This window comes from Homo sapiens, chromosome 2 (assembly GCF_000001405.40).
Source record: "Homo sapiens chromosome 2, GRCh38.p14 Primary Assembly".
NCBI classification, from domain to species: Eukaryota; Metazoa; Chordata; class Mammalia; order Primates; family Hominidae; genus Homo; species Homo sapiens.
The window spans coordinates 223,048,422-223,058,529 of NC_000002.12; the positions used below are offsets into that span (position 1 = coordinate 223,048,422).

General features: G+C 44.9%; 1 protein-coding gene across 1 annotated transcript, besides 2 other annotated features; it reads left to right on the forward strand.

Annotated features, from left to right (window-relative positions):
* Positions 365 to 424: an enhancer, noted in NCBI's record as "active region_17171". NCBI's record gives its function as "activates an Ori minimal core promoter by ATAC-STARR-seq in GM12878 lymphoblastoid cells {active_cell/tissue: GM12878}" and the evidence as "EXISTENCE:reporter gene assay evidence [ECO:0000049][PMID:35858748]".
* KCNE4 (potassium voltage-gated channel subfamily E regulatory subunit 4) lies at positions 3,769 to 7,216 on the forward strand. The gene is made up of 2 exons (NM_080671.4): positions 3,769 to 3,853; positions 4,387 to 7,216. The coding sequence occupies exon 2, from the start codon at positions 4,410 to 4,412 to the stop codon at positions 4,920 to 4,922; it is 513 nt and encodes a 170-aa protein (NP_542402.4). The 5' UTR covers positions 3,769 to 3,853; positions 4,387 to 4,409; the 3' UTR covers positions 4,923 to 7,216.
* Positions 4,077 to 4,624: an enhancer, noted in NCBI's record as "H3K27ac-H3K4me1 hESC enhancer chr2:223917216-223917763 (GRCh37/hg19 assembly coordinates)". NCBI's record gives its function as "activates a minimal SCP1, AML or CMV promoter by ChIP-STARR-seq in naive H9 embryonic stem cells {active_cell/tissue: H9 hESC(naive)}" and the evidence as "EXISTENCE:reporter gene assay evidence [ECO:0000049][PMID:30033119]".
* Positions 7,217 to 10,108: the final 2,892 nt, after the last annotated feature.

Sequence of the window (10,108 nt, forward strand, 5' to 3'; positions counted from 1 at the left end):
CAGCCTCCAGTACTTAAAATAATATGAATTCAGAAAAAGACAACTTGTAGTTCCACGTGTGTATTTATGTGTGAGTATCTAGTTATGTCAGAATTCACATTTTTTTTAAAAAAAAAGTTTTATGAAGACTCAAAAGAAGTTGGAAAAATGTCCATCTTTCACTTCCTACTCTTTCTCAGTTTCTTTTTGTTTTCCATTCAGTGAGACAAAAGGTAGTGGAAAAAGAATGGGTTTTGGAGTTGCATAGATCTGGGGTCAAGTACTGACTGTACTGCTAGTGATTTGACCTGGAGCAACTTTGCCTCTTTGACTCTTTGACTTTCAGTTTCCTTATCTATGAAATGGTTGTAATAATACCTGACCTCACAGGACTTATGTGTACTTGGTATATGATAGACACTAAGCTAGATTTGAACTGCAGTGTATCTTAGACTCATTTAAAATACAAGTTTAAAATGGATTTATCAAAACAGAATAATATCGATGCAAAGATAGACAGATAGATCAAAGGAACAGAATGAAGAGTTAAGAAATAGACCTGCTTATATAAGGTTAATTGATTTTCAACAAAGTTTCCAAGATAATTTTAAATAGGAAAAGGAGTCTTTTCAACAAATGATGCTGGAGCAATTGGACATCCATAAGCAAAACAAAAACAAACAACCCCTCCCCAAAATCCTTGACCTATATCTTACATTTTAGACTAAAATTAACTTGAAATGTATCATAGACCTAAATGTAAGGCTGAAACCATAAAACTTCTAGAAGCAAAACAGGAGAAAATCCTCATGACTGGGTTAAGCAAATATTTCTTTGATAGGATTCAAACAGCACAACCAAAAACATTTAAAATAAATTGGACTTCATCAGAATTAGATATGTTTGCTCCTGAAAAGACACTGTTCAGGAAATGGAAATGCTAGCCGAAATTGATTTATTTCTTTAACATTGCTGTCTCCTAAAACTGAGGCCCGGGGTAGATATAATTAATAATTCTTGTGCAGTCCCATCCTCTCCCGACAGAGTGCACTTTCTAGATGTACCCTCTCTCCCTCATTCTTTATGCCATTATTCAGTGCCATCATTCTCGCAATCCCTGTCATGAGTGAGGGCTGGGAAGAAGATTGAGCTATGCATTTTGAAGTTGGAATTCCCTTCTCTTAAATTCCATTCCTGGGAGTGACAGACAGGGGAAGGAGCAGTGATAAAAAGTCTGGAGTTAAAAGTCTGGAGATGGGCACACACATGACAGGAGGCAACCTGAAGCCCTTGGGAGCAACAGCGTACTCCTAACAATGACAACTAAACACAGGCACTGAGCATGTGCATTTGGCCAGACATGGTGCTTTCTTTGCATCATTTCATTGAACTATTTTATTCTGTTCTGTTCTATTCTATTCTATTCTATTCTATTCTATTCTATTTATTTAGAGATCTCGCTCTGTCACCCAGGCTGGAGTGTAGTGGCATGTTCAGACCTCATTGCAGCCTTGAACTCCTGGTCTCGAGTGATCCTCCCACCCCAGCCTCCCAAGTAGCTGGGACTACAGGCACTCGCCACCAGGCCTAGTTAATTTTTGTATTTTTTTGTAGAGATGGGGTCTCACTGTGTTGCCCACGCTGGTCTCAAACACCTGGGTTCAAGTGATTCATCCACCTCAGCCTCTTCAAGCATTGGGATTACTGAACTAAGACACTGCAGTTGGCCTCGTTTAACTCTAGTAGAAATATCCATGCAGGAAGTATGTGGGAATCGGGGCAGCAGGGACTCCAAGCAGGCACCCCAGAATTTCTTCTGGGCTGTTCCTTCCCTGACTCCTGCAATTAGTCCTGCTTTTCCTTTGGCTCTGACTTGCTTCGTCCTTTGGAATTCATTCTCGATGTTTCCCCACACTCATCTCTTTTCTTGGTTGTATTCCCTTGGGACTGTTGGCTCAGGTTTGGGGATTTATTATGTTTAAAACTTCAGCCTCTGTTTGGCTTCCTGGCACCAGGCTTTGTACTTCCTGCTCCTTGAATCTGGTAACTCCTATCCCCACCTCCTTTCTGCCTACTCAAAGCTTCCAGTCTTTGGTGTTGGACAATCCCTGGATGATGACCAATCTCGTATGTCCTAAGGTATACAATAAAAAATACCAGGGTCAACAATCAACAGGCATCTCTTTCTTGGGCCCATCTTGTTCTAGTGTCCCAGACATTCCAGTGTAGGCTTAGATATAGATGGAAGTGTTCTAGTGTTTATGATGGACACCTGTTGAAAAGACCAAGTCTACCATGGCTGAGGTAGCTATGGAGGGTTTTACGTATTAACACAATGGTGAGGGTATCTTTACTGGTGTGAGCACAGTTCCACTGTATGGATGATCGTGATGCTGGAGTGGTCGATGGTTGGTACCTCCAGTGCCAGCTGGGGATTTATGGATGAACACAGGTGAGTAGTCAAGTGGGAAAAATGGCAGCATTCAGTTCATCTTCCTATTCTTCCTCCAGGTGTCTTCTTAGAATCAGGATCAGGTGCAAACCCAGGGGGGTTCCTGTAGCAGCAGTGAAAATTCCAGTGCCTAAGCTATATATGTTCAAGCAGGTCAGGTGGATGTCGCATGCGTCAGTTTGACTACAGCAGAACCATGAGAGATGTTTCCTTTAGAGTTGGCCCACAAGACAGTCTGGCTGCAATCCACAGGCCACAGACAACTGGAGGGAGTGGATCTCTCCCAGTTTCCTTCCACTTAGCATGAAAGCCTCAGAATAAGCAGCCCAGGGAGCAGAGAGACTGACATTAAAGCCTGCAATTCCTCTTCCAATTTTGATCACAGCAGCCATTTAAACACAGGGTCTACCGAGGTTTAAAAAACTTGAACTGTGCTTAGTTGCACTCTGAAATAGTCCTGCTCCTCCCCTGACCTACGAGAGACAGCAAAGAGACGTGTCAATAGCCTCCGCATGAGGCTTCAGAGGAGCAGCTGTGTATGGCAGGACGGAACAAAACCTGCCCATAGTATCTTTTACGACAACATGTTTCCACTTAATGCAGACCACTGAAAAGAATGTGGGAGCTTTTAAAAAAAAATTATTATAAACATAGGTTTGTGACCTTGATGTGGAAGGCAGCTAGAATCTCTGCTTTTAGAGGGCTAAGCAACACCAGGCAGCCTTCAATCTTAGAAGGGTTAAGCTGAAAGGGTCTCAAAAGGTCACGTGGTTTATATAATCCTACCTGCAGAAGACCCCCCCCCCCGCCAGGCACAACGATTTTACAGACGAGGAATGTGAGGTGCGGAGAGGTTAAGGAAGGATTTATCTTATTTGCATAAGGAGTGGAAGAACTGAAACCGAAGCCCCAGTTCCTTGACTGTAAATCCCGCACTTGCTTCCAACTGTCTTTCATCCAGATTATGGGATTCAGCTGCCTCTGAAAACCTGTAGCCCAATAATGGTTATTCCCCAGGAGCCGCGCGAAGCATGAGCTAATTTTCAGTGAGCGCGGACTTTGGGGTAACGGTTCCAGCACAGCACATCCCTTTCTCCTCTTTTCACTCATCGTCACCGCTACCTGAAAACCCTGGCCGGGTGCTGGGGCTTGAGGAGCAGTTCCCACTTCCCAGTCTTTTTCACTTTTCACAGCTGCAAAGTTCAGGGAGTTGAACTGCAGTGCTTTCAGTTCACTGCTCACTCTGCCACGATCAATCTCTGTTGTAAATTTTCCTCCCAGAGCACGTGACGATGCACTTCTTGACTATATATCCCAACTGCAGCAGCGGAGTTGTCAGAGCGCAGAGCCGGACAGAGCAGAAGAACCCTCTTGGACTGGACGATTTGGGAATTCAAAACTTGGGACAAACTGTCAGCCTTGGTAAGTCAGCAAGGCTACACTTTGCTTTCAGAAACATTTGAAAGAGGGACATTTTTGCCAATTAATAGATGAATTTTTTTCCTTTATTTTCTTCCTGCTTTTCTTTGTTCTAAGGAAACATTGTTTTGAATTTAAAATAGTTTGGTTTTGGAAACACAATGTAAACTTTGTTTCTGCTCAGTTAAAATACGTTTCCCAGTTTTAAAGATACTATTTACTGTATGCTCCTGTCTTACATTGATTTTTTTTTTAATCAAAGTAATACTGCTCACTACAAACAGGACAAATGTGTACACTAAAAAAAAAAAAAAAAGTCCTTCTTACTTTTCCCAGTGAACCTTCCCGGGCTTCTCTCCCGTGCACTCCAAGCCCTCATAGCTCACTCTTGTCAGCTGTTTGGCGAACCCTCTTATGCTATTTCTTTCATGCACTTTTAAGCTTTTTTGGTATTGCAGTTCCACAAACCTCGTGCTCCCCCACCTCCCTGTGCCCAGGACCTGGGGGAGAGTTCTAACCTGCGGCTTTTTCCCCAGCCCCTGCTGTGGAGGCAGCCTCAATGCTGAAAATGGAGCCTCTGAACAGCACGCACCCCGGCACCGCCGCCTCCAGCAGCCCCCTGGAGTCCCGTGCGGCCGGCGGCGGCAGCGGCAATGGCAACGAGTACTTCTACATTCTGGTTGTCATGTCCTTCTACGGCATTTTCTTGATCGGAATCATGCTGGGCTACATGAAATCCAAGAGGCGGGAGAAGAAGTCCAGCCTCCTGCTGCTGTACAAAGACGAGGAGCGGCTCTGGGGGGAGGCCATGAAGCCGCTGCCTGTGGTGTCGGGCCTGAGGTCGGTGCAGGTGCCCCTGATGCTGAACATGCTGCAGGAGAGCGTGGCGCCCGCGCTGTCCTGCACCCTCTGTTCCATGGAAGGGGACAGCGTGAGCTCCGAGTCCTCCTCCCCGGACGTGCACCTCACCATTCAGGAGGAGGGGGCAGACGATGAGCTGGAGGAGACCTCGGAGACGCCCCTCAACGAGAGCAGCGAAGGGTCCTCGGAGAACATCCATCAGAATTCCTAGCACCCCCGGGACCCCTGCCGGTGGCTCCATCAGCCAGCAACCTTAGAGAGAGGAAAGACAGTTTTCAAGTGTCTGGTTTCACTTTCACAGTGCGGCTGCCACTTTGAAGAGACCCTTGGTAAACCCCTGATTCGGGGTGGGGTGGGGGACTAGGCTCAGCCGGAACCAGCACCTCCAAGGAGTCCGGGAGGTGCCTGTGGTTTGCACCCACCACTGAAAAAGCCGCGGAGATGCGCAGCGCGTACACTGACTTTGGGGCCTGGGTGTTGGGGTTCTGATCAGAATTTGGCGGGATGATATGTTTGCCATTTTCTCACTGGATGCCCTGGGTAGCTCCTGCAGGGTCTGCCTGTTCCCAGGGCTGCCGAATGCTTAGGACACGCTGAGAGACTAGTTGTGATTTGCTATTTTGCCTAGAGCTTTGTCCTTCTAGATCTGATTGGCTGTAAGTATCTCTACTGTGTACCTGTGGCATTCCTTCACAGTGGGTTACAAGCTTCTTTTGGATTAGAGGGGGATTTTTGATGGGAGAAAGCTGGAGATCTGAACCCAGCCCATTTGCACACTATAAGAAAAAAAAGTAACTTTTAAACCTGTTAACATTGGCCGGGGTTATAAGAGATGATCTTCTATTTTGACCTTTTGTCTAACTTATGACCTTGAACTCTGACCTGTGACCATGCAGCATCACATGATGGCATGACGTTCTTTGGATCAGAAGAGCTTCCCCAGAATCTAACCTGCACTCCCGATGGTGGTTCAGGAGACTCTTCCTGATCTTTCTAGAAGGGGTAAAGTGGGGTTGAACAAGGCCAAGCCGTTAGCTCTGCTGCTGCTCAGTTTCCCAGCCTAGTTTTCTGAGCTGGGAGAGGACATAATGTGGTATTTCGTCACGTAGCTGAGACCTAGAAGGGCATACTCAGGCGGAGATTGCACAAAGCTGGGCTCCAAGTTCTGTGCTTCCTGATCCCGAGCCCTGACACTCATTTGCTGTGTGGTCCCGGGCATGTCATCAAGAAGCTCGCTGTCTGCATGAGGCTCCCGACGATCTCCATCCCCAGGGGGTTGGGAGGATGTCTTTAGATTTTAGGACTCTGTGATAAATATTCCACAGCCTGGTGTGAGGAAGCTTGGACCAAATGCTTCCCCTTTGGCCGGTTAGTCTGAACAAGGATCTGCTGATTTAAAGGAGCAGTTGGAGATTCAGAACACATATAACTGGGGAATTCAGGGCAAGCTACCAACCCAGCCCTGCTGTAGTTTTCCCAGGACTGAAGGAAAGAGGCAGACACCACATTCTCCTCTGCAAAGTTCTCTGGAGAATGTGTGATGTTAACACTCCCAGCTAAGGGAAAGCAAAGTCTAAAGGAAAACACACAGGAATGCTTCCAATGTCTCCAAGTATTCCTGTGGTCAACAGTTTCGCAGATCCGTTAGGCCCTTAAAGACAAGGAGGAAGTAAAAGGTCAAATTTAAATCTATTTAAAAAAACTTTTAAAAAAATTATTTATTTATTATTATTTTTTATTTTTAAGACAGAATCTCGCTCTGTTGCCCAGGCTGGAGTGCAGTGGTGCAATCTTGGCTCACTGCAACCTCCACCTCCTGGGTTTCAGCGATTCTCCTGCCTCAGCCTCCTGAGTAGCTGGGATTACAGGCGCCTGCCACCACGCCCAGCTAATTTTTTGATTTTTAGTAGAGATGGGGTTTCGCCATTTTGGCCAGGCTGGTCTCAAACTCCTGGCCTTAAATGATCCTCCCACCTCGGCCTCCCAAAGTGCTGGGATTACAGGCATGAGCCACTGCACCCGGCCACTTTTTTTTTTTTTAAAGAAAAATGCTCTGCATGGATTGGAGACACAGCAATAACTACTGTTGCCATGGAAGGGTTAACAGTGTAGGAGCTGGTTTATCAGTCCGCTTTGACATACAGCTAAAGGAAATTTATGTTTGGGGGAAAAAGGCCCTCTGTTCACTTTAAAATTCAGTGTGGACTTATGCCAAAGGGGGCTGTTTAAGTTGAAAGAAGCCAAGTTAAGTTTGGCCTCTTGCCTGGAATCACTTGAATTCTGAAATTTCACTGCGACGGACATGTGCCTTGTCACATTTTCCATTGCTTAATCCTGAAGTTTGGTGCAAGTCTCTCTGCACCTATTAAAAAGTGATGTATATACTTCCTTCTTATTCTGTTGAGTTGTATAGAATTGTCTTTTGTATTTAACACTTTGTAATTTTCACAATATTTTTTAATTTAAATAAATAAACACATTTTTTCCCTCCTGGGAAGTCATGAATTCTTTGTTTGATTTTTCAATATAATTGTTAGTTTCGAAGACATCACAGATACGTTTCCCAAGACATCTCTGGATTTTGCTCCTCTCCCAAGTCAGTATCTCCTGAGGGCGTATCTTATTTCTGTCTGAACCATGGGGTGAATGAGGCTTGGCTTTTCATCCTTTGAAATGCTTTGTAATGAATGGAAAACAAGCTGCAGATGGTCTTACATGGACTTCTCTGTTTAAATATGGCAGCCCTGGAGTCTTTGGACTTTGAACATGCAGTGACAGGTCAACTGCTGCTAAGATGTTGCTCCAAGCTTGGTTGCAAGAAAACGTTTGACCTGTATGTTGGCTTGGCAAATATTATCCACACATGTGGCCCAGCAGCACCTGCTAATGGGCAAAGAGCTGCTGTATGAACAGCAACACAAACTTACCAACACAGTGAAGCACGACGTGTGGGGCTGGGGTTGACTCTCCTCCCTCTCCTGGTCTCCTTCAGACTGGGACTGATTCCAGCCCCTCCCACTTGGTCTGTCTGTATCTCTTGCCCACAGGCTGAGGCCGTGGCCAGCCTGCGGCAGCCTCTTCTTCATAATTTTATTTGCATGACCTGTTTTTGAATCAAGCAAATGGTAGGAAGCATCCTTACTTTTATGTTTCTCTGTTTCCTGTGAGATTGGCTTTTCTGTTTCAAGTAAGTGTTTCCCTTCAGTTCACTAGTAACTGTCTACCTAAAAAATTTACCTGGCAACAGTACAGTGGAGCCTGGATCCTTCCCAAACAATATCGAGGGCCCTGATCCATCAGTTGGTACTTTGATGATGTAAGATGAGAAGATTGCTGTAAAAGGCAAGAGAGCCTTTCCATTTGTCCCAGTTTAATGTCGTTCTTCGTAAGGAAATGGTTAAGAATTTTTCTATTTTTTTAAGCCATGGGTGGAAGGAGAGGGAATTCTAAACTCTAATTGTCCTAAAAATATGCAGAGTACACTTTGTCGTTTTAATGGGATATTTGTTTTCTTTAAAAAAAAAAAAGAATTTCTAAGCAGAACCTAAGGCCCAAGGGGTTTAGTCTGTGTGGATTTACTCATGCATGTGAAAAACTGAGAGGATAATTTGGCCCTGTGCACCTAAGATATTAAAAACATATTTTGAAAGCACTTAAATGTTAGGGATGAGGTAAATGGATCATCCTGCCTGCTCCACACTGTTCTAATTACACCTTTGTACGTCAGAGTCAGGCAGGGATGTTACACAGTAGAAGATTTCTTTCACTGGTAGAATCATGGGATCAAATCTACTGGGAAAGGCTGAAGTCAGGCCAAGGAATGAATGCTCTTGGCTCATGATTCTGGTTGGAAAGTGGACCCCCTGGTGCCTTTCAGAGCTGCAACTGGAGGGTTTCATGGTCAGACATGCACTTCTAGGATTCAGCTAAACGAGGGTAATTTATCATCCTGTAAAATGCTGCTCTGACCGTAGACATTGTGGAACAAACAGAACATTGAGCTTAAAATGTAACTTAAACTCCAGCTTCAGGCAGAGCATACTTTTGCCTCATGCCCTTTCCTTAAAGTCTGTGTACTGTGCTGAAGAAAATCACAGGACATATCATCGGTCATGGGACTAGAGGCAGAGTCTAGCGCTGGAGGGAGACCTGTCAGCCAGTTGGTCAGGATGGTGGCTCAGGCTACGCCTGAAACGCGGGGAGGTAGGGTGTAAATAGTGGCCAGTGGAGCCTCAGCCTTGTTATGTCTGGCTTTCTAGCCTAACTCTGCTACCATGTTGCTTGTAGCTCTGGGGAAGCTACCTAACCTTTCTGAGCTCTCTCTTTCAACAAGAAGACAGCATGCTGGCTTTTCTCTTTGGGGAGTTGTTCAAAGAACGGTGGAACGCCCTGAGAAATACTCAAAGAAAAGCAGATTCAGGCTTCTACTTTAAAAATGTGTCCTGGGCATGCATCTGCAAATAAAGTCACAAAACATCCTCTTCTATGGACGCTTTCCTCAGGAGACTGCTGTGTGCTCAGAAAAAGTGCACGCTTTGCCAAAGGAGAAGGGTCACAAGAGGGAAAAACCACTGTTAAATTCAGCCTTCCCCCATTTCTGAAATGTTTCCTCCCACACAGGAAGGAACAGTTTGGGATGTGTGCTGTTACCATGGAGATAACCAGCTAAGGTCACTTGATGGAAGGAGTCTGTGGCCCACTAGCATGGATCATTAGGGCCAATCTCGGGAGCTAAGGTTTTGTCCTTGGCTCAGAAAATGAGCTTTGAGCCCATGGCAGCCTCTATTCACAGGTATGGGAGGGGGTGCAGGGACAACACCGTTCTCCTTTTGTCTTGCACAAGCCTGTCCTCTCTTCGTACATCCCCCTTGCATCCTTTGCAATCCCTTCCTTGCACTTGCCCTGTCACATTCGACGTAGGGCTAAGCTCTTGTTCTGCTGTTCCTATGAATTTATTTTCCTGCCTTGAATTCTCTTGCTAAGAAACATGATTGAAAAATCCTTCACATCAATAACTGTACCTCTTTCCTGTCTTTAATAGTTTTCCTTTGCTTGTCCTCTCTTTATCTAGCCTCCCTCCCTTTCTTCCTCTCTCTCATCCTTCCATTACCCAAAAGGAACAAAAAGACTAGTAGCCACAGTGCATGATACTTATTCAGCAATTTTTACAAGCCACACACCTTTGCAACCCTGCATTTTGAGCTTTTCCTCTGTTCTAGGCACTTCTCTAGGTGCTAGGAAAAAATGTAACACCTCTCTGGGGATGTTATATTTTTCCCAGCTCTTTATGGAGTAGCATTTTACATATATATATATAAAATGTATATATATAGGTGTACTGGCATATATATATATACACATATATATGTATATATGTGTATATATGTATATGTATGT

Coding starts and splice junctions, on each gene's coding strand:
- KCNE4 (NM_080671.4), top strand. CDS start 4,410: ATGCTGAAAATGGAGCCTCTGAACAGCACGCACCCCGGCACCGCCGCC.